Genomic DNA, 25,547 nt, shown 5'->3' with positions numbered 1-25,547 from the left:
GTATGTTTTCTTTTTTTTTTTTTTTTTTTTTTGCTGGTACTATATTGAACTCTCCATACACAATCATACATGGTGCAGCAAAAATCAGTTAAGGCTGACACATTAAGGCAGAGCACAAGAATTATCAGTCAGTCTTGGCAAGAAAGAATTGATGCTGTTAAAGCCGTGAATGGTCTCCATTCCTTCTACAATAGAATGTGCCCATTTAACAAGCCGTAAGCTGGCCAGAACAGAGACTGGATGCTGTCCATTGAATGTTTCATTCTGTCTACCTGGTTTCTGAGTGTCTCTTCTGTAGTGAATGTTCACTGATGGGTATTAAAATAAAATAGAGCTCATCATGTTTGTTTCTGTTTTTCAGACCGTTTTTTACTTTGAGAAAAAGCTGTTGGCCATTGCCCAATAGTTTCTGTAATGTTTTTCTTAGAGTGTTTTACCCACCATACAAGGAAAGAAACAATTATAATTCTCAAAACTGTCCACTCAGAAAATTTCTTGTCCCTATTTCTTATGAACTTTATCACTAAGTAGGGATATAGTACAGTGGTTCTCTACTTTCAGCTCACACCATACATTGAGGTGATCCATCCACGAAATGTACCCGAATTTTATTTCTTCTCTATTATTTGGAAATAGAAAACACCTTATAAGTCCATAGCTTTGTTGGGGCAAAGTCATTGTACCAATACAAGGAGCTACTATGAGATTCCATTTCCTAGGGTTTCATTTACCTGTAGTCAGCTACAGTCCAAAAATGTTAAGTGAAAATTTCCAGAAGTAAACCATTCATAAGTTTTAAATAGTGGACCCTTATGAGTAGTGGGAAGAAATCTCATGACTTCCTGCTTTGCCCTGACTGAGTCATGAATCACCCCTTTGTTCAACTACCACCCTGTTAGTCAGTAGGCATCTCCATTATCACATAGACCATATGACACTTCTTGTCATAAAGTAACCCTTATTTAACTTAATAATGACCCTCAAGGCACAAGAGTAGTGATGCTGGCAATTTGAATATACCAAAGAGAAGCTGTAAAGTGCTTCCTTTAAGTCAGAATGTGAAAGTTTCTGAACTTAAAAAATGAAAAAGTATTGTATGATGAGCTTCCTAAGATCTGTGATAAGAACAAATCTTCTTTCTATGAAATTGTGAAGAAGGGTAAAGAAATTTATGCTGATTTTGCTTTTGCACCTCAAACTGCAAAAGTTGCTGCCACAGCACATAAGTGCTTAGTTAAGATGAAAACAATTTGTGTGTGGAAGACATGAACTGAAATATGCTTTGATTGACAGCATTCAGGTTCAGCACTACCGAAGATTTCAGGCATCCACTGGGAGTGTTGAAATATGCCCACCATGGATAAAGGGACACTACTGCATTCTTTTCTGTGCCTCCTGGAACCACTTGTTAGTGCCACAGGATCCTTAGGGTGTCACCTTCCCAGCTGGAAGCCCCTTTAGCTGGTAATGCCTTTGTCAAGTTTTGTTCAGGCCTGTGGGCTCATTCCACACAGTCGGCCTGGCAGGCTGCACTTAGCTCATGCTACTGGCCCAGATGCCACATCTGTTCAAGGCTGAGCCAAGCACGGAGTGGTGAGGGGTGCATGAGCCAGAGAGTATGGGGTCTGGCCAAGATGCACAACCAGACATGCTGGCTCTGTGCAAGCCTGTAGCTGGATCAGATGCACTGCAAGCAGCTTCTGCTGTAGGCACCCTTTTCTGGACAAGGGGAATGCAGTGGTACCCAGAAGCTTGGAGATGTCAGAAACCACTGAGCTCCAAAGAGGATGTCATAGCCCTGGCTTGGGGAGCCCCTAGATCTGGGCTTCCAGAAGAGCCACAGCTGTTCTCTCCTTCTTGTCGCCTGCAACATGGCAAGCAGGGGATGGGAGGGTGTGTTTCAGCCCTGTTTGTGTTACAGATCTTTCAGTCCCACCATTTGGCAGGTCCCAAGTTCTTGTCCCAAATCCAGGAAGAATGAGGTATTTGGACAACTGGAGGGTGAACAAAGTAAAGAGGTGCTTTATTGAGCAACAGTATAGCACTCAGGAGATCCAAAGTGGGTAGCTCCTTTGTGTACACAGGTCATCCCAGCGTCTACAGCCTTCAGTGGAGAAGAAACCCAGAGCGGGCTGCTCCTATCCACAGATGGGTCATCTCGATGTCTGCAGTCTTCAGCAGAGAGGAAATCCAGAGTGGATAGCTCCTATCCACAGGCAGTTTGTCAGGGATATCTTTGTGAGTCTGGCTGAGTTGGGATTTTTATGGGCTTCAAAAGGGAGAAAGTACATGCTGATTGGTCAGTGGGCAGCCATAGTGGGGCTTGGAAAAATCACCATAAGTTCTCACTCCCAACCACAGACTAACCAGAACTGACAGCTTAGCCCCCATGCTTCAGGCCATCCCTGGCTTGAAGGTGGGGCTTCACTTGGAATCTGCCCCTTTCCACACAGGAGGCTTTCTGCCTCCTGCTGCCATCCACATGGCATTCATCGCGCCCAGGCTGCTCCTGCCGAGCGGCAACTTCAGGCCTGCACCAAGCTACCCTCATCACTCCCTTGGCCTCCCTCCCATTCTTGTTGATGCCCAAAGTCTGGATGGGGCAAAGGCAGCAGAGGGCTGGCATGTCAGTGCCACCATGAATGTGTGCACACTCAGCCAGGTTGTGACAGTGCCCAGGCTCAGCTACAACTTTGCTCCAAAATCGGAATGGGCACTGGGAGCTGGGAGAATCCAGGCAGCAAGAGCAGGCACTTCTGAGCCTGCTGGGGTAGGTGGGATTACCAAGCTACCGAGAGTGCATGGATGCCTGGGTCTACAGCCATGGCTTGGCAGCTGCAGCTGTGCCTACGTGGGTGGGGCTCCTGTGCTGCCAGCTCCATGGAGCGTGCAGCCCCAGCCATGCCTCCCTCACTGGAGCCTATGCCTTTGCACTGGCCACTCTGGACAGGCTGCCACTGCCATCAGTACTGATCCTGAATATTTATGTTTCATCATACAATAAGTATATCTTCTGTACCAGTCAAACCCTATTATTTGTGGCAGTATTGTTTAGGTAGTTCATGACGGACAGAGTTAACCATAGAGTCATTTAAAGTCTCTAGAGGCACCTTACCAATACGATGAGTTTTTTAATCATTTAGAGTTCACTTTCCACCCTTCAGCATGCATGCATCATAATCAAGAATACTTGCAATATTAAAATTATGTCATCAATATAATGTACCAGGATGATGTTCTATCCATAAAGACTATGAAGGTTTCTAAGGACCATATTATGACAGGAGGTCAACAGAGCTAACATAACTCTGCAGCAAGACTATTAATGTGTATCGCTATACCTCTCACATAAAATGGACTTTGATCATTTTAATTGATGAGAATTGAAAACAATGCATGCCAAGAGCCAGAGGCTGTGCAATTCTACTCCAGTAAAGATATCATACTTGCCAAAGCCGCTGCAACTGGAAATACCACTTGACTAAGTGGTATTTCATTTAGGTCACATTTTATATAGGGGGGGCACTGATGGCAAACGTGAAATAAAAGGGATATAGTGGGACCCACAAACCTCTGCATCATTTAATGTCACATGTTACATTGAAAATTTTAACAGTTTCTCACAGGTGGGAGGTACAACTTATGATTAACTAACTTGGTGTGGGGAGAGGAGAAATACTTTGGGGGAGCTTCACCTCAGCCTTTTCTAACATCTTAGGTCAGAAAAACACTGTGAGGATTCTGCTACCATCTAAGTGCATTCATCCTACTTATGGATCATAGTACCAAGTAAATAGCACAAATTGGTCTGTGGAACTATTGGATCCAATGTGAGATGTTTGTGCCAAAATTGTGTGTACTACCTGGCCTTCATAGGCCCCCTATAACCAAGAAGCCAGAATAGCACTTTAGGATATCTGGTATCAGTGCCATTTCAAATTCTGCATATAACAGAATTCAAAATGTCTCAATATTCTGCTTTTTTCTAATATACCATTGATGTCCTTTGTTGAAAGACTGGGAGGCATTGCAGTGTTCTTCCTCAAGGAACCTAGTCTGCACCTGAGTCAGTGTGTTTTGGATCTGATAACAAGATCAGATCTAACAAGTGGATGAGTGATTATAACTTTTCCATTGTGGTGTATTTTCATCAGATCTATTTTTAATGTTTTTAATCACACAAATTAAGTGACATCCTAAATTACAGTCTACTTCATCCTCAGTTCTATTATTTCTTTTCTTTATTTTCCTAATTAACCCATGCATTTCCAATCAAAATGTAAGATTGAACTCTATTTTATCTCTTCAATTCTCTTACACATTCTAGCGCAAAATTTTTCCTCATATGATCTTTTTTCTTACTTGTAAAAAGATTGAGTTAAAGGTCCCAAATAAACACACAACAGACTCATTATTGGCATCTTTTACCTGCTTCCAACTTTTTGCAGTTTTATCTTGCCTTATTATCCTTAAAGATAAGGCTCATGCTATTGCCCCCTAATGATATTCAAATAAAACATTCAACATAAAGCATTCAACTAAAAATGCACCCCATCCTAATCTTTCAAGATACTAAGCAATTTTTTATGGGATGCTAGCAAGCAGCTGCAGTCTCAGTTCCATTCGCAAATGCTTTCGAATCTTCTATATAATCTTCTATATAAAATTTCATTTGGAAGAGCAAATAAACATAAAACATGTCCATGTTGTACTCTTGTAGATAACATGTAGAATAATCCAATTCAGAAGTGGGGAAATTTAGATATAATTATTTTTTCATAAGTATACCCGAATGATTAATCATTATAAATACATAATTATGATAAATCAGTTATAATGACAAATAGGTAACTTAAAACACTTAATTCTTAAGGTAAATTTATCATTTAGTAAAATACATGTGGTATAAATGTTTGAGTCATTCTTTTTACCTATCAGGGTCGCATTTGTTCAATTCCTTTGCTGCATTTTAATAGTGCTTCTTTTATTTTCTATTTAGTAAGTTCTTTTTACATCCTCACTTGTGATTAATAAGAAATTAAAATATAAAACCTGGCTAAAATAAAATATTTGTAGATTCTAGGCTAGAAGTATATTCTATATGAACATGCCCGCTTAAGTTTTTAATGTATATGTAGAGAAAAATGATCCATTTATTTAACTTTACCTACTGAAAATGGAAGCAGTTGCTGGAGGTCTTTAGCTACATGAAAAGGTATCAAAGTTCACATGTTAAGTGTAATCAGTGTGTATAATCACTGATCATTTCCTCCAAGCTGACAAGACATACACATCACCTCTAGTCACTGAAAAAAATTAATTGTTCACTTCAGTTCATATTGTATCAAGGCTAAAATATAAAATTTTTGATAGTGATTTCCTTTCAATTGTTGAAGGAAACTGTGGGATGTCTTCTCCATTATCCTCTGGCCTTTGGCAATAGTTGTCTGTTTTACTTTCTTTTATATTTAAGGCAAAAATCTAACAGACAGCAAAGTGTGGCAGAGCTGAGTATTTTTTTAATATGCTTTTTAGAAGTATGCAATGTGCAAGCCATCAGCAGTAATACGTTAACATAGTTAATCTTAAGTATCAAGCTGCAACCTACTTTTCTCTAATACACTTATAACCATATGGTTGTTTCTGTTTTTGGTGTCAATTTGGTTGGGTGGGCAATACTTAGGCACAACATGAGACGTTTTCATTGATTCCTAAAAGGTCTTTATTCACACTTGAGCTAAAGCAGCTGGTGAAGGGCTAGAGAGCACTCGAGTCACCCAAATCTCTGGATATTGCTTTCTGCTGCACCATCTGTGCCCTGTTAAATATTCTTGATTTTTGCCAAGTTTGGGCCAATTTATATGTTAAATCAGTTACTGAAATCAGAATCCAAGAAGCTTCAGGGAGGGAAAAAATGATACTAAACTGCAAAACTCTTATACATTAATCATTAGTATTAGAATGTGAAGTTCAAGTACTGCCATTCAAAAGATCATTGTGAGAAATCAGGGTCCCTGGATTTGGGGAGAGCAGTGAATGGGAATTATATTTCAAAAGATTCACCCTGGAGACATGTACCCCATCCTAATATTTCAAGATACTAAGTGAATTTTTTATGCGATGCTAGGGAGCAGCTGCAGATTCAATTCTGTTCACCAATTCTTTTTAATCTGCTATGCACCATTGCCTAGTAAGACCTAATATAGTGGCTAATTACTTTGGTAGCCTAACAATTTTACTGTCTTGTACATGACAATCGCTTCAAGTAACACAAATTAGTCAGTGTGTAGCTGCACACTTTAAGAGTCATAATATTCTAAACTACCACATGGAATAAGGGCTCAAATTAGGAAGGCTACTGTATGCTTTTGAGATATTGATTTTCAACAGTAAACAAGATCATCTTGTTATTACTTAATTAAGAGGCAGTATTAGGATATAAGGGCCAAATTATAACACATTTTTAGATATGTGATCATATGATTTAATTAGATAAGAGTTTTACTGGAACCAGTATCCAAGAACAGAAAACACTAATATCTGCTTCTGGGAATGTTATAGAATGAATAGAGGAAAAAAGAAAGATGAATGGTTATAAAATAACAACAGAAGAAAAGCATGTAGACAGTTTTCCCTCAAATATTTAGTAAATCCACCTAACGTGCAAGAATATTTAATCTAATTGAAAATGTGTTTAGTACAATGATCCACAAATTCTAAGTTAACTAAGATTGATTTTAGTTAATATTTGCCAATTAAATTATCTTCTATGTGCACAGTACTCTGCTAAATACATTGATTCTTTTATTTATACTTTAAGTTCTAGGGTACATGTGCACAAGGTGCAGGTTTGTTACATATGTATACATGTGCCATGTTGGTGTGCTGCACCCATTAACTTGTCATTTACATTAGGTATATCTCCTAATGCTATCCCTCCCCCATCCCTCGACCCCACAACAGGCCCCAGTGTGTGATGTTCCCCTTCCTGTGTCCAAGTGTTCTCATTGTTCAGTTCCCACCTATGAGTGAGAACATGTGGTGTTTGGTTTTTTGTCCCTCTGATAGTTTGCTCAGAATGATGATTTCCAGCTTCATCCATGTCCCTACAAAACGACATGAACTCATCCTTTCTTATGGCTGCATAGTATTCCATGGTGTATATGTGCCACATTTTCTTAATCCAGTCTATCATTGATGATGCACATTTGGGTTGGTTCCAAGTCTTTGCTATTGTGAATAGTGCCACAATAAACATACGTGTGCATGTGTCTTTATAGCAGCATGATTTATAATCCTTTGGGTGTATACCCAGTAATGGGATGGCTGGGTCAAATGGTATTTCTAGTTCTAGATCCCTGAGGAATCACCACACTGACTTCCACAATGGTTGAACTAGTTTACAGTCCCACCAACAGTGTAAAAGTGTTCCTATTTCTCCACATCCTCTCCAACACCTGTTGTTTCCTGACTTTTTAATGATCACCATTCTAACTGGTGTGAGATGGTATCTCATTGTGGTTTTGATTTGCATTTCTGTGATGGCCAGTGATGATGAGCATTTTTTCATGTGTCTGTTGGCTGCATAAATGTCTTCTTTTGAGAAATGTCTGTTCATATCCTTCGCCCACTTGTTGATGGGGTTGTTTGTTTTTTTCTTCTAAAGTTGTTTAAGTTCTTTGTAGATTCTGGATATTAGCCCTTTGTCAGATGAGTAGATTGCGAAAATTTTCTCCCATTCTGTAGGTTGCCTGTTCACTCTGATGGTAGTTTCTTTTGCTGTGCAGAAGCTCTTTAGTTTAATTAGATCCCATTTGTCAATTTTGGCTTTTGTTGCCATTGCTTTTGGTGTTTTAGACATGAAGTCCTTGCCCATGCCTATGTCCTGAATGGTATTGCCTAGGTTTTCTTCTAGAGTTTTTATGGTTTTAGGTCTAACATTTAAGTCTTTAATCCATCTTGAATTAATTTTTGTATAAGGTGTAAGGAAGGAATCCAGTTTCAGCTTTCTATGTATGGCTAGCCAGTTTTCCCAGCACCATTTATTAAATAGGGAATCCTTTCCCCATTTCTTGTTTTTGTCAGATTTGTCAAAGATCAGATGGTTGTAGATGTGTGGTATTATTTCTGAGGGCTCTGTTGTGTTCCATTGGTCTATATCTCTGTTTGGGTACCAGTACCATGCTGTTTTGGTTACTGTAGTGTTGTAGTATAGTTTGAAGTCAGATAGCATGATGGCTCCAGCTTTGTTCTTTTGGCTTAGGATTGACTTGACAATGTGGGCTCTTTTTTGGTTCCATATGAACTTTAAAGTAGTTTTTTCCAAAATGTGAAGAAAGTCGTTGGTAGCTTGATGGGGATGGCATTGAATCTATAAATTACCTTAGGGCAGTATGGCCATTTTCACGATATTGATTCTTCCTACCCATGAGCATGAAATGTTCTTCCATTTGTTTGTGTCCTCTTTTATTTCGTTGAGCAGTGGTTTGTAGTTCTCCTTGAAGAGGTCCTTCACATCCCTTGTAAGCTGGATTCCTAGATACTTTATTCTCTTTGAAGCAATTGTGAATGGGAGTTCACTCATGATTTGGCTCTCTATTTGTCTGTTATTAGTGTATAAGAATGCTTGTGATTTAAATACATTGATTGTTATCTCACCCAACATATACAAAACAAGATACACAGGAGGTATTCAGAAAACCTTTACTGATGTGAAAACCACATCAAATTCACTTACTGCTGAAACTTTCTGCTCAATCATATCCAAATATTTTAGTCATGGATTCAATAATTGTCTCACAACATTTAACTGTGACTACAACCTGTGACATAAAATATTATGAAGGACTGAGAGCATGTCTTTTTTTCTTTACATTGTATTGAAATGAATTAATTGTAACATGTTCTGTAAAGAGATGGTATTCAGTACATCGCCCACATGAAAACAAAGGTAAAAACAGTGGCTTACTGCCAAAATATCAAAGCAAATTGGCAAAATGTACATTTTGAATTATTGGAAGATCTGCCAAATTTTCAATACTTACATCTAAAACACCAATATACCCTTTCTATAGGATTAAACATCTAATTTTCTGTTTTTGTTGTTGTATTTCCCACAAGTAAAGCTAGGAATCACTTTGTCTCTAATGAGATGTTCAGGAATATCTTCCAAGTTTCAAAGCAGTCTAGGGAACATGTTATGCTAAGTAAAATCTGCCCAAAAGACTGGATTTTTTTAATTCCAGAAAAACTAAACATATGTACTTTCTTAGAGGAAGTAAATTTAACTTCACAAAATTCCAAATGATCTAAAATTTACTTAGTTCCTACAGTAAATAGTGTTAAAATTGGGAACTTTTAACTGAGTGTATGTAACATCTCCAGGTTAGAATACTAAACTAAAATGTAAAATAAAAATAAATAAATAAGAAAATGTAACATTCCATACATGAGTTTTATTTAAATGTGCAGCTTTCTTAATTTACTTTTTAACTGGCTAAGAAGAAGAGTAGCCAAGAGGAAGAATAAAGTAACTTTTAAAGTAATGATTCATGTGAAATTACCCCAATTGCCTTCTTTCTTAGTCCACTTGGGATGCTCTAACAAAATACATTAGACCAGGTAAAGTATAAACAACAAAATTTATTGCTCACAACTCTGGAGGCGGAGTAGTCCAGGATCAAAGTAACAGAAGATTTGGTGTCTTGTGAGGACTCATTCCTCATAGATGGAGACTTCTAAGTGTCCTCACATGGCAGAAGGGGTGAACACCCTCCCTGAAAACTCTTTTATAAAGGTACTAATCACTTTCATGACAGAGGAGCTCTCATGACCTAATCACCTCCCAAAATACTATCATTTTGGAAGTTAGGTTTCAACACAGAATTTTGGAGAAACACAAACATTCATAGCATACCATCTTTTATAAGATAAACACAGCAAATAGACACCATCCCTTCAAGCAGAGGAGCAAATACATAAAGAATGACTATAACACTTCATCAGTGAGGATCTGTCATCTAAACCCAGGTAGACATATCCAGGCTCTTAGTGGAGTGTTATGTTTATTTTCTATAATATAGCATGGTATCATTAAAAATTGTATTAAGAATTCACAAAATATCATCTATAACAATTGTATCAAAATTTCAACTATTAAAAATTTACACTATTTGACATTATTCTATTGGGACAGTTTTAATATTTACTATAAATAACTTTTAGCTTGGTCTTCTATCACTAATTCCATTTGGTAGACACTAAGCTTAATATGGAAATAAAATCAATGACATTAACTGGCCATAAATATCTTATTTCTATATATGAATTATAACAATTCAGATAGTTAACACAAAATTTATTCCATTTTAACTAGCTATAATTTACAAAACCTAGCCATTGAAATTCATACTAGTAAAGAAAACATGTTAGATAAATTGTGAATGTATATGTGTGCGTACGTGTGTGTATTTATACAACTGATTCCAAATAAGATATTCATTTGAATATGTGAACTAAAAAAAATTAACTTTCATAGAAAAGCCCAATTTATTTTCCCATTTTATTATTTTATTTATTTATTTTTTCTTTTGAGACGGAGTTTCACCGTTGTTGCCCAGGCTGGAGTGCAATGGCAGGATCTCGGCTCACCACAACCCCCACCCGCCAGATTCAAGCAATTTTGCTGCCTCAGCCTCCTGAGTAGCTGGGATTACAGGCATGTGCCACTACTCCCAGCTAATTTTGTATTTTTAGTAGAGACATGGTTTCTCCACGTTGGTCAGGCTGTTCTTGAACTCCTGACTGCAGGTGATCCATCTGCCTTGGCCTCCCAAAGTGCTGGGATTACAGGTGTGAACCACCATGCGCGGCCTATTATTTTAAATTATTAGTCCCTTCTATCCTTTCTCCATTTCCTCTTGGCTACCTTTTTTCTCTTCTATGCTTATTTATTTCTTCTAACTTCCTGTACTTTCTCTCCAAAGGCTAAGTTATATTACTTAAAATATAGAACAAGGAACAATCCTCCAAATAGACTGCATTAAAAAAAGACTCAAAATGATCTAAAATCTATACCATTATAATAGTTTAATATGATTTCTATGGAACTTTCTACTAGTATACCAATGTTTATCATAACACTTTTCTGATTTATACATCTCATCATTTTGAATATTATTTTAATGCTTTGACTGTCATTATATTAAACCTAAAGAATTAATTTTCAATGATTTTAAAAAGCCTAATCATTGCTAATATTTTAAATGCCTCTTTTCTAAAAACATGAATAAATGTTGAGATTTAATTAAATAAAACTCACCAATAGAATGGTTTATAATTCTTCGCGTGTATTGTTAAGAAATATAGACTCTTCTGAAAATATTACTAAACTAAGGCTTAGGGTTTCTTTCTTCTGTTATTACAAGAAGATGTGGGGAATTCATTAAGAAAATTAAATTAACTTTGTATTCCAATGTTTGAGACATAATGCTTCTTTTTATGTTGAAGTAATTTTAAAAAGAAAGAAAACATTTTAAAAATATTGGAGATATTAAATTCTCAAAATCAATTAGAGATAATAAAATCAAGTGGAGCTTTTTATAGGTATGTGACCATGGTCACATTGACACCAAAGTGCATTTTGATAGAAGCTGAATTCATCAATGCCATATTTTTAATGCTAATGTGCTACATAGTATAAAGGACCATTTTCTAAAGAGATCAAATTGATGCTCCTATTCACAACACTAATAGTAGAAGAAAATGGGCACATCTACCTGGTAATTTCCACATAGGTTATAGATATGAATTAGCTGGAGAATATAATGGATTTGTTCAGTGATGACTTTTTACGTTAATAAGAAAAAGAAACTAATAGCTCAAAATAAAATTTTAGGCCACTTCAAAACCACCAATCTTTCTTAAAATGTCCAACTTAGAGAATAACAATAAAGTGTTGACTGTCTATTCTTAAGTTATGTTTCAGTAAGTAGTTTGCATCTTGATTTAAATATCTGAACATGAGAGTTCAGAAATGTAGACTGCTATTTACTTTTCCATAGTAACAAATTTATAACTAATATCTAAAATACGGTATACCTAATAGTAATAAAAAGTTGTTCAAAAAATATAAATTTTAAAAAATTTCTTAGAAGTAAAGACTATGCTTCCTGCATATAATGGGAGAAATTTTATGTGAATTAACTATTATTCAGTCTAAATCAATACAAGCTTACCATTTTCCATATAGAAAATGTTCTTTTTTGTTACTATTTAATTTCCGAGTAGAAAAAATTAGCCTGAAGAAATATAGACAAGGTTATTATCTCTAGGGTATTCCAAAATAGTCAGTGTTCTCATTTAACACAACCAAGATATAAAATACAGTCAGCCCTCCATATCTGCAGGCTCTACATTTGCAGATTCAACCAACTGCACATCAGAAGTATTAAATAAAACAATAAATATAACAATGCAACAATAAAAATACTACAAATAAAAGAATCACAGTATAATAATTATTTATATATCATTTACATTTTATTAGGTATTATAAGTAATCAAGATGATTTAAAGTATATGGGAGGATGTGCACAAGCTATAGGCAAATAAAAGGCCATTTTATATAAGGAACTGAACTTAATCATCTAAAGATTTCAGTATTCCTAGGGGTGATGGTCCTGGAGCCAATCCCCTGCTCAAACTGAGGGGGTGACTGTATTTCTAGTCACACTCAATCTTCTGAATACCATCAAGATTACAATTAAAATGACAGTCTCATGGCTCCATTCCTAAAAGAAGTTTAAATATCTAAGCAGTATTAAATGAACAAACAAGCAAACAAAATTACTTTTCCCACATATAAGTATACATAATCCTTTAAAATGTCATTTTAATTTTTCTAAGGAGTCATAATGTCTTTGTAAATAAGTAAATATGTAATAAAAAGAAAGTAAGATTATTTTAGGATGCACGAAAGAAATCTATGTTCTACTAGATGGAGTACCATAAAGAAAGATGGTGGGATAAACCTGAGTCAGAAGTCTCTCTACTGGATAATTAGAATGATAAGGATAACATTAACTCAGTTAGATAAAACCAAATAGAAGCAGGTTTTCTTGAAAGATAATGAGTATGATTAATATAAGAAAATACAAATTTTGACTCCCAGTGCAGGATCAGTATCAGAGACACAAATTTAAGATAAAGAAGGTAGATTGGAAGGTCATCAACATAGGTGCCAAATGTTCATAAATGAAAACCTAAAAATATAGCCTCAAAAATTAATGAAAATATGATTTATATTGTGGAGAAAGTGAATTAAAAGTTGATATATGGAGGTTTAATATAGCTTCAAGTAATGACTTATTTATACAGTCAGATTTTGATGGAAATTTCCAACAAAGTGGTTATGGAACACCAGGACACTAGACAGTATGGACAGATGCAAAATATATCTCCAAGACTGCATGTAAAATCCATTCTTGACAAATTCAGGCTTGTCTACTAAGTTATGTTGGAGAGTCCTGTAGCAGATAAATTTAATTTGTTGTTGTCTTTAGAAAGTTGTCTTTAAAACAATAATATATTTTTTTCTTTCATTTCATCTACCAGACTTTTAATACAATGCAATTATTTTACGGCATGCTAATGATGTCAGGTACTGTATATAAGATCAGAGTTTGATGTTGATAAGTGACCTGCTTATTTGCAGAATGTAGATGTATTTGCATCAATCTGTGCTGCATCTGAAGCATTTCTGGCCCCCACTGCATTTTCTCTCCTAGGCTTTGGAAACCTAGACCTCAGTTAGGTGGTGAGAAAAAAGTCTTTTTCACATGTGATCCACTATGCCTAACAGTGTGTAACAAAACCTCAGTGAACATGCCTTAATAGACAATGAAAGTATAGTAACTAAAGCTGTCTCAGAAAAAGAGAAATAAGCTATAATAATATGTTTAATATGTTTGTGTGTGTTTGCAGAAGAGTAAGTTGGACAGAGACAGAGATTGGTTCGAAGGAGCAGTGTTGGCAGGCAATTAGCATTGTCATTAGATGAATATTTACTGTACTGTTACTGAAGACAAACCAGATATTTTTCTTGTGCTGTCACAGCATAGTAAAAATACAGCAAAGAAACAACAGGCATAATAAAACCAGCAGATACTGAAACTGACTACTTGAAATTACTAAAGATTAAAGGGGAAAAATAGCTCTGAATGTAAACAAAAAGACCTAGCAAATTTATAAATGTTTTTCATTTTAAAAAACATAGAGCCCCTTTTTGAATTGTGGGTCAGAGGCTCAATTAAAGCAATATTAAAACATGTTTTAAGAGAGGCCAAGGACTCTTAGCACAAGAAAGCAAAATTACTAAAAACCACAAAAATCAGCACAAAAGCTGGGTCTTCTCCAAGAAACTTTGGCATGACAAAGTACTTGAATTTAGAAACTGCATCTACTCTGCTAGAATACCAACCAATTAGACTTAACATTTTCTTGAATATACATGATAGTTTTAGGAAAGCAAAACTGTGATGCATTTATTTCATCAAGATAATTGTGAATTTTTTCTAGAAAATCTGATTAACATCAATGAAGATTTCATTTTGAGGTTTTCTAAGATATATGATACTGTGAGTTGTAAGCGTGACACTCGGTCAGTTCTTGCTCCTGAATAAGCTATTTTCCAAATAAAAATCTGATAGTAACTTTTGTTCCGATATATTTTCACTTCAATGTACTAGAAAGTAACTTTTTCTTCAAGTTGGATCTAAAATCCCCATTTAATTGCTTTGAGAAAAATGACTTTTAAAACAAACTAACATGTAAGATATGACCAGCCAAATGGTCAGAAGTGAGAGTTATGTCACTTCCATTCAACTAGGCTATTTATTGAGCACTTTCTATGTGTCAGGCACATAGTGAATAGAATAACAATAGTGAATAAGACTCTATTTATTGTATGGACTTGAACTTTAATTCCAAAGAACTGTTTATAGAGTAAGACACCTGCTTTTTTGGTACCTGGAAGGAAAGTTTACATATTTTCATTTTTTTATCTTATTCAGATTAAATATGATGAAATAACACTAATTGAAGTGTATATTATTTATATTGTGTATTTTTTTCTTATAAAAATTTCCAAAAATATAGAACAGGTTAAAATAATAAAATGATCACCTAGATTTATCAATTAATATTTTCAAATTTGCTCTATTTATCTATTATCTATCCATTTTTCTATCTATATATTTTTCTATGCATCTATCTTCACCTTTTTTGTTTTACTGAACCATTTGCAAGAAAGTTGCAGAGGCCATGACACTTCAACCATAAATGTTTCACCTTAGATCTACTAACAGGGTCTCTCTTTATATCATCATCATATTATTCTCACACTAAAGAAAATTTACAATAATTTTCAAATATTAAATAATACATAGTGTATACTCAAATTTTGTTAATTATTCTGAAAATACCTCTTATAGTTACTTTTATTAAATCATCATTCACCCAAGTCACACATTATATTTGGTTCTTACATCTTACACCTCTTTAGATTCTTAACATAAATTTTTAGATGTTCTTTAAAAAGAACTACGATGAACTATAATTCTACAAAAAGCAATATATAATCTTGATTATTTTCTTTTTGATTCTTTAATCTTTTATTTATTAAGGATTTGTATGAATCATATGTTTTCATTTAATTGCGTCATGAGGATCAATATGGACATGTATCTATATATTTAGTGTATAACAATCAATTACAGTTACATTCTTTGTAATGTTTAAGTGCTTAATTGCCAAATGTGGCTAGGGAGTATCTTTAATTTACCTTCTATGTCTTCTTTTTTTTAATTTAGTTTTATTTTTAAGTGCCACATAATAATTACACGTATTTATGGAGTACAGTGTGATGTTTCAATATACGTAAACAATGTGTAATGACCAGATGAGGGTAATTAGCATGTCTCTTATCTCAAATATTTATCATTTCTTTGTGGTAAGAACACACAAAGAATTCATCTTCTAGCTGTTTTTGAAAAATGCAATACATTACTGTTAACTGTATTTACCGTAGTGTTCAATAGGTAATTGTAACTCATTCCTTCTATCTAACTGTAAGATAATACCCATTGACCAACTTCTCTCCATCTCCCCATCCCTGCTTCCTTCCCAGTGTCTTTTGACATGCTTCAAATTAGTCTTGGAAAGCTATTTTGCCTTTGGTAAGACACAATATACCATATTTTTTGTGTACTTTTCCAGCCTTACAAATAGAAATACCTGCTTCTCTAACAGACTCTCTTCCTGTTACTGAGGAATTATACTTAGAAACCAAGGTTGGGAATCTAGGGATGATCACTGCTAATGAATGGTCTTTCAGTATACAGAGCTAAGGAATGAAATTTTAAAATTAATTTGTGTAGACATGCCAAATTTAAATTTAAGATTATATTTTTCTTATATTATTTTGTACTTCTAAGTTTAAAATATTAATTTAAAAAATATTTAAAATATTTACAAATTTTAAATATTTTTCTTAACATTGGTATAGATTTTATGTATCTGCTTACAGTATAATAAAAATGACACAGTTTCAAAATTATTAGTAACATTACTCTAATACTATAAGGTTATAGTAACATATTATAGTAATATAATATAGTATGTTACTATAATGTACTATATGCTATATTACATTATAGTATTTTGCTATATCATAATATATATTCTAATAATACATGATACTATAATATAGTAATATTACTACTATATACACACTATATATTACTATTTAATGGGTAATATATAATCCATGTTATAATATATATTATAGTAATATTATTATTATATTACTATATTACCATAATATAGAATAATATTAAAGTATACTTACTAGTCATACATATGAGGAAAGTTTATTATTTTGTGTTTTTTCTTTTGGATTATATTGCATTAATGATTTACATCAGAGTGCTATATTAAAAAATAATGTGTAGAGTGTTAGGATTTTATTGTCTTCCTTTATAAGTGTTGAAACTCATTTAGGTAAATGATTAAGTAGTTTTCAGGTCACCTTGGTGCATTCAAGTCTTGTTTGAAGGTTTTATTAGGGCAGGTCTAGAGTAGACTTTACCAGTACTAATTGAGGTAATTGGTACCAATAACTATAGCAGTAGTTAGTAATTAGTACATCTAACCTGAGAGCCCTACTAGTAAGGCATAACCCTCTGGGTTCTCTATTAAATGTTCCATATTTTTCCTACTAGGGCTGGTTAAAACTCAAATGTTTCTCATCATTGTAGGAGGTCTTGTAATTGTTAAGCTTACATCATGTTTTCTGTTTGATTGTTGTTCGGTGGTGGTGGTGGTTTTGGCGGTGGTGATGGTAGTGTGTGTACACACACTCTTCAAATTGTTTAAGTTACAGTTTGTAAAGCTTCACTCACATTCACAGCTTAATATTCAGCCTGAAATACATAAAACCTCTATGCAGATTTGTTTCCTTTTCTGTGTAGCTTCCTTCTCTCTAGTTTTCAGCTCTATTTTCACTGTCTTGATCCTTCCAAATTTTTATTTCCCTCTTCTCAACCAAAGGAAACCAAAGACAAATTTGTGTTTCTTAAACTACTCTCTCTATGCCAAGGTCCAGATAGTGCTGTGGGCAGAAAAGCAGGCCAATGCTAGGTTTTGTCTTATTTGAATATTTCTATCAGAGAACAAAGTCCTCTTTGCTTATTGTCTGTTATCAAAAAAACTGTTATTTTCATCTTTTGTATAGTGTTTTTAATGTTTACCTCGAGATGGTGAGTCTAATATTAGACATTGCCTCATAGATAAAAAATGGAAATTTTTCATATGCATTTTTCATACGCATGATAGATACGGCTGGTCTGGCTCAGTCAGGGACATATCTTGGCATTTTTACTAGGATTGTGCTAAATATATAAGCTTATTTCGGTAGAATTGTCATCTTTGCAATGTTAAATTCTCTTATCTCAAAACAAATATCTGTTCCTTTTTCCAAATAGACTTTTGTGTCTTTTATTAATGTTTTAAATATCTCTTCACATTTGTTTTTAAAACTTTTAAAATGTGTTTCTATTTTATAGTTTTTTCTTGCTATAATAAGTTTTGCTTTATTATATTTTCTAAGTGGTTATTTCTTGAGAATATGAGCCACTTATTGTATATTTCTTCCCTGCTACATCTTCAATTCATTTATGTTTATTAATTATTCATGACTATTCCAGTTATCCAAACAAATCATTCATAAAGATAAAAACTTTATTACTTCTTTGGAATTTTTTTGTCTCCAGTTTTTTATTTCCTGTCTAATTGCATTGTCTGATATTTTGAATAAAATGTTAAATAGCAAAGGGCTATTCTGTGAACAACACTGCCCTTTTTCTATCCTTACTGGGAATACTTCAAAGTTATTCCCATTAGGAAGAAATGTAAGTCCATAATGAGATATATGTGCTTTGCAATGGTAAGAGTCTATGTATTAATATAAAATGTGTGTTTTCATCAGAAATGTTTATTAAAATTTTATGAAACTCTTTTCAGCATCTATGAAAATAATCACATTTTTCTTTAGGTCTGTTAATGTGGTAACATTAATATTTTAATTATCTATTCCCTCAACTGTAAAATACCATTATTTGTATAACCAGGTCTTTTAAAAAATAGCTTTTGGGGAGCAAAATACAAATAAATATAAATATTATTTATATAAATATTTTTAAAATATCATAGAATCAATAAACTATGATACTTTGTGTTTAACAAATAAGATCTATCAAACTGAACCTCATTTGTAAGTCATATTGAACCAACTCTGAATAAAACAGCAGATCAATTTTCATTTGTACTTAACAGATATGGAACAAAAAGCATCATATATCACTGAGAAGCTATATGCCTTCATTTGATCATTGTTCTACACTATAGACCTCATTCTCAGTTTACAAATTTATATTTACTAGAAACCTAAAATGAGGCTAAAGTTATCATAGGATAACAGAAACTGAATATTAGGATCTGGCTATATTTACAAAACTGTTACACACATTTGGCATTTAATTCAGCAAGCCCGATTATAAAAAATGTCACAAAATAAAATATTATAGGTATGCTAAAATATATGGATAATACTATTTATTGTAACTTGATTTTTCAAGTAACACTGGAATTAATATGTTCATCTAGGACTGCTCATGCAAATTATAGTGTGTCTATACAGTAATATACTATTAAACTGTTAAGAAAGTGAAAAATTGGTATGTATTGACATGTAAGAATCTCAAAGATATAGTAAAAAATGAAAGGAATTAAAAATATGTGCAATATATAAAATATAATTCTATTTTAAAACTGGCATATATACGCAAAGAATTTCTGAGAGAGCATGAGCAAAATATTTTACCCTGGAAAGAGAAACAAGGCAACAAGAAAGAAGTCTTTATTTTTGGAATATTTTTAAATGTGCACATACTGCTTTTATAATAAGCAGTTTAAGTTTAAAAGTGCAAAAGTATATTGTTAAGTGTATCCAAATTAAAAAAAAAATATTGTATAGAACAGCCATGACTAATTATTTTTTACTCATATTAAAATTTGATTGATGTTTGTCTTTAACAATTAGATAGTTAGATTCAAGCAAAACTTTTCAAGTTATATAAGCTTTAAGTTATAGCACCAATAGTCATTTTATTTATTTTTTTCTTTCTTGGTTCTTATTACTCAGATTCAGAGAATTACTAATTAAATATATTGGGCAGTTTGGGAATGTACCATGCAAAGGTGAATCTATTTTTTTCTATCAATCTTGTTTCTATATGAAATTTATTGTTCTGGGAAGCTAAGTAGAGGAACTTCGGAGCCTAATGTTTAGCTCTTCTACACATTACAGGTATCTAGTAATCAGAGGTCTCATTGAAATCCCATAATCAGAACATGTTAGATTGTGTATCTGAATATGCAGACCTCTCCACCACATTCGAGAATTATTACCTACCAAAGAGCCAATTTAGGCTATGAGGAGACTATCTAAAATTCAGAGGCAGTATATACATATCTAAAAACTGCTAAATCCCAAAATAACTGTATCATAGAAATGTGAAATAAAGTTAATTTTTAAAAATGTCCTCTGGCAGTAGACTTTGATTAGCTACTCTGGCCCTCAAACTTTTAAAGATGGCAATCTCTTCCTCTTTCCTGCCTTTGAAGTGCAAAAGATTCTAACCAAGTAGTATACATTTTAACTGTAAAAGAAAGTTGATTTCTTAAATGTCTTTTAGGGTCCAGTTATTGGACACTGTTGGAGTCACTTTTAAATAATTTTTATATTTAATAGGTAAAGTAGGTTAGACAAGAACATGTTTTAAAGATTAAACCATGAGGTGATCTGTTGGGGAGAGAGCTTCCGTGTGATGTAAGGATATCCCAAGCCTAGATAAAGTCAAGTTTCCTTATGTGGGTTGCATTAGAGGAAAAAACATTTGGTTGAATATCTAAACTGTAATATACTTTAGGCCTTAAATAATATATTTGAGCACTACAGTGTATTAAAGCAAAAAATAAAATTTTAGTTTGGCAAGGCACCTCAGAAGTCAGAGTGCTTTTCTTCTAAGCATCATTTATCCTTGGAGCATGATCGAACAAATGCGAATCTACTTTAACATTAATATTTTCAGTGAGAACTTCACAAGATTGGCATAATAATTAGAAATTATCTTTAAGCTAAATTCTGCTTCCTTGTATCTCTACCTAATGGTTTTTGGTTTGCCCCCTAAACAACATGGAAAGAAGTCTTACAATTTAATGATATAACTCATTAAATAATTAAATATTTCTACTGTATCTCTATTTTCTATTAATTATTAATCACCCCCTGTTCCTTCAATCATTCCCTTGAACATAGTATTCAAACCTTTGAATGCTTAACTGTAGACCTTTCTTTTAAACCTCCTTTCCTCTATTTTTCAAAATCCTCACCATTCTTAAGAATCAAAAGATGGTGTATGCTATTTCTTGCTCTGTTGTAAAAACCACATTAAACACCCATCTTCTGTCTATTTCAGTATCCTAGAAATATCAGAACATCAGAAATTCTGCATCTAATTTAAAATATATGCTTCAGATGAAGTTTTCTTCACTTTCAAATGAATATTCTAGAACAGTTGTTTTCATTTTCGTTCTGACCCATGAGCATTTCCCAGACACTTTCAGAAGATTTGTAATAGCAAAATAATTGAAAAATAATACTAAGGTGTTATTTCCTTTTACTGCATTAACATTTTGCAACAATAGTACAAAAGAAATTTCTGTTGCCATTTCATGAGTTTTGGAAGCAGCACCAAACAATACTAGTAGTTATTTTCTGTCATTACCATGATTAAAAGGAAGAATAAAGATAAGTAGGTTTAACTTAAGATTATCCTTGATGGTACAGTAAAAATTAGTAATTTTATTAATTCTTAATTATTATGTGATGAAATGGAAAATACCTGTAACTCGGAATTTATGAAAATTAATAGATATGATCATTTCCAATATGTGACCATATTGTCATCTTGTGGTATTTCACTAGCACTCAATTATGAGATACAGGACACAGGAAAGTGAACAGTTTTATGTTGTGGATTACCCATATGGATACTGAAGTCACTGAGGTGGTGACCAATGTAGAAATAGAGAAGACAAAGTGAAGTAGAAGGCAAAATATTATTCAGTGATTGAAACGTGTGTTATAGATACCTAAGCGATTGGCCAATGATAAATTAGAAGGAGGGGTAATGTTTTCATTTTAGTTGGTTAGATGACATGAAGTTCAAAGAAGCTGACATTTTGAAGGAGTAGCTAAGAGAATTGATTTGCATTTTAGAGTGGAATATAGAAAAAAATACCTACACTACCTCCTGGTGCCTAGTTATAAGGAATGAAATAAAGAAAAAGTCTCCTGCTAGAGAAGCCTACAGAGACAATTGTTTCATCAATAAAGAGAACACCAGTTCTCACCAAGACTGAAAAGATGAAGGAAACATCAAGCAAAGGTCTTGAGTTTGGAGAAGATTTGTTTAAATCACATGTCTAAAGTACAGAAGACCCAGTGAAAGAGTTTGAGGGGAGGAAAGGTGCAAGGAATTAAGTTTTTAAGGTGAGTGGACTAATATGGTGATGATTGTACTCTGAGTATGGTGATTACTGGGCTGAGACAAATGGGGATATGAAGGGTGATGATTTAAATTATGATACATTTCTTGTTTTAAAAGCGATCCCATTACTGGGTATATGCCCAAAGGAGTATAAATCATTCTACTATAAAGATACATGCACACGTATGTTTATTGCAGCACTATTCACAATAACAAACACTTGGAACAAATCCAAATGCCTATCAATGATAGACTGGATAAAGAAAATGTGGCATATATACACCATAGAATACTATGCAGCCATAAAAAAGGATGAGTTCATGTCCTTTGCAGAGACATGGATGAAGCTGGAAACCATCATTCTCAGGAAACTAACACAGGAATAGAAAACCAAATATCACGTGTCCTCAGTCATAAGTGGGAGTTGAACAGTGAGAACACATGGACACAGGGAGGGGAACATCACACATGGGGGCCTGTCAGGAGGGGGAGGACTAGCGGAGGCATAGCATTAGGAGAAATACCTAACGTAGATGACAGGTTGATGGGTACAGCAAACCACCATGGCACGTGTATACCTATGTAACAAACCCGCACGTTCTGCACATGTATCCCACAGCTTAAATTATAATAAAAAAAAAATAAAGACTTATTCTAAAAAAAAGGAAAGTCTAGTGGGTCCTGAAAAATGTCCTAATAACTTGCAGCTAAATATTAGAACAAATGATTCCTTTTAATTAACATGATCTAATTGGAAATAGAGCCAGAAAAGAAAATGTGGCTAAAAATGTGTAATGATTTGCTTCCTCCTTTTCTAACATTTTACCAAACTGCATAAGAAGGAAACTCTTACAGCTTTTTTAAGTAATCTTTAATCCTTTCTGTGAGATAATTCAAGATAGATTGTTTTCTTTTTTAGAATCTTTACTTACCTTGGTAAGTTAAACATTTCATATGACTGACATATCTGACAGACATTATATCACTGAGAGGTACTTTTCCAGGAAAGTTATTGTGAATTTTTATTATGCCAGTTATTATTTGATGATACAGTGCCTGCTTTTTCTTTAAGCTAGAAGTGAGCTTTTAAAAAAATTCTTTTCCCACAAAGGTAATGTGCATCACTGACAATTTCCATTCCGCACATTGAATATAAGAAATTTATGCTTCTTAAGTCAGAAGCGTTAACCCTGTGGAGTTCATGTTTCATTTTATCACTATTTGTCAACAACTGGAGGTCATTTTTATGCTGAAAAATGACACATTTTTAAAAATAAATATGAATTATAAAGATATTATTTTTATTTTAATAATAAATCTGAATATTACTTGCTATTTTTAAAAGATTTGTATTTTGAATAATTATTTCCCATTTTAGCATGCATATTTCTTGAAATACAGTTGATATGTCCCAATTGCAATTTTAATAAGTTTTGTTTAAGGCAAAATTAAAAATAAAGAGCCAGAGCTGGTTTGTTTAATTCGCTCTGGTTAACCTTAGAGACATTACTCATTTAGCCACAAAATACAGAATATTAAAAATATATGAAGAATAAAAAATGCAGTTTTAAGCTAAACTTTCCTTATTGTATAAAACATATATTTACCTGTTCAATGATTTAGCATGTTTGTACATTTTATGAATTTGTTCTGCCTATTATATTTTGTAAAACTTGATCTTAGGGCATTTGTACCAGCTATTTTCATTCCTTGGAACACATTTTCTCCTATTCATCATCTAAGTCCTATTCACTGTTAAGTTCTCAGTTTTTCATTTTAATAACAGCCTCTCCTTGAACCTAGTCCATATTAGGCCACCTGTTATTCCCTCATAGCTCACACATTTATTCTTGTAGCATGATTACTTCTTAATACTTACCTCTATTACTTTTGTGTAGGCTGCATAATGGTAGAGGCTGTGCAGTGATATATTTGAATTTGTGTATATATACATATATGTGTGTGTATATATATATGTGTGTGTGTGTTTTATGGTTTTTCTTATACTAAAGTTGAGTACTTTGTAATTTAATATATCCTAGCCTAATCCAATAATTATGTCCTGAGAATATTTTATTTCTCTTTCATCATTTACATAGTTTTTTATTCATTCTCTTGATAACTTATACCGACTGCCTACTATGTGCTGGGATGGTGCTGCATAACAGAAATTCAGTTATTGATATTAACTCAACACTTGAAAGGTACTCAGATTCAAATGTGAAGAGACAGTAGAAAACAAAACTTGTAAATAGTATACTAATCATTCTGTTAGAAGTAAGCAAAAAAGGGAAGAATCTATATGAGTTTCTATATTTCAAGTTAGGCTTTTCACAGGAAATGATGTATTACATTTTAAGTAGTAATTGCCTAATTTGAGAGAGACTCCAGAGCACAGAGAAAGTGATGGTGTGACTAAAATATTTCCAATGGAAAATCTGAATTGGACAGTAGTTGGGCATGCCTTTAAGGGCTTTCACTTCACCTGTTCCCTCTATCTGAAGCTCTCACCTCTTAAATGGACAAATGGTTGACTTCTTTACAGTCTTGAAGTTTTTATGTGAATTTTACTGCAGTAAGTCTTTTTGGTCAACCTATTTAAAATAGTAGTTTTGTAGATCTCTCAATGCTCCTTGCCCTGCTCTGGTAGTAACAATTAAAAAAAATTCTGCTCATTTAGGCATTTTATGAAGAAGTCATCATATATCTATCACTTGCTTTTATTCTATGACATTGTGTCACTAATTTTCTTATAGTCTATTACATGCGGTACACTCATTGTTACTGATAAATATAACTGTACTCTGTAAATGATACATTTTTTTCATTCCCCTGTCAATGACCATTTACATTGTTTGTGCTATTAACAAAGATGCTATTTATCCTCCTGTTTATATCTCCAGATCTACATGGGCCAGTGTAATTTTTTTCAGATTTTAGAAGGAAAACCTTTTAATCATAGGATAGGAGAAAATTCTGCCTTTAAAGATGATGCTAAATTTTAAAACCAAGTGTTTATAACTATTTTACACTCAGAGTAATATGTAAAATGTTTGTTTCTGTTCTTGGTGTTCTTTTTAAGTCATTTTTCAGCCTAGACTAAGAAAATAATCTGGGAACATATTCGTTCCAGATATATACCTCTGACATATTGTTCTAGCATATTGAGTTTCTGATGAGTTTTTTGTTTGTTTGTTTGTTTTGAGACGAAGTTTTTGCTCTTGTTGCCCAGGCTGGAGCACAATGGTGCTATCTCAACTCACTGCAACATCCGCCTCCCGAGTTCAAGCAATTCTCCTGCCTCAGCCTCCCGAGTAGCTGGGATTACAGGTGACTGCCACCACACCCAGCTAATTTTTGTATACTTAGTAGAGATGG

This window comes from Homo sapiens, chromosome 9, assembly GCF_000001405.40.
Source record: "Homo sapiens chromosome 9, GRCh38.p14 Primary Assembly".
In the NCBI taxonomy this organism is placed as follows: domain Eukaryota; kingdom Metazoa; phylum Chordata; class Mammalia; order Primates; family Hominidae; genus Homo; species Homo sapiens.
The sequence above is the reverse complement of the archived record's forward strand: the minus strand, read 5'-3'. Positions refer to the sequence as shown.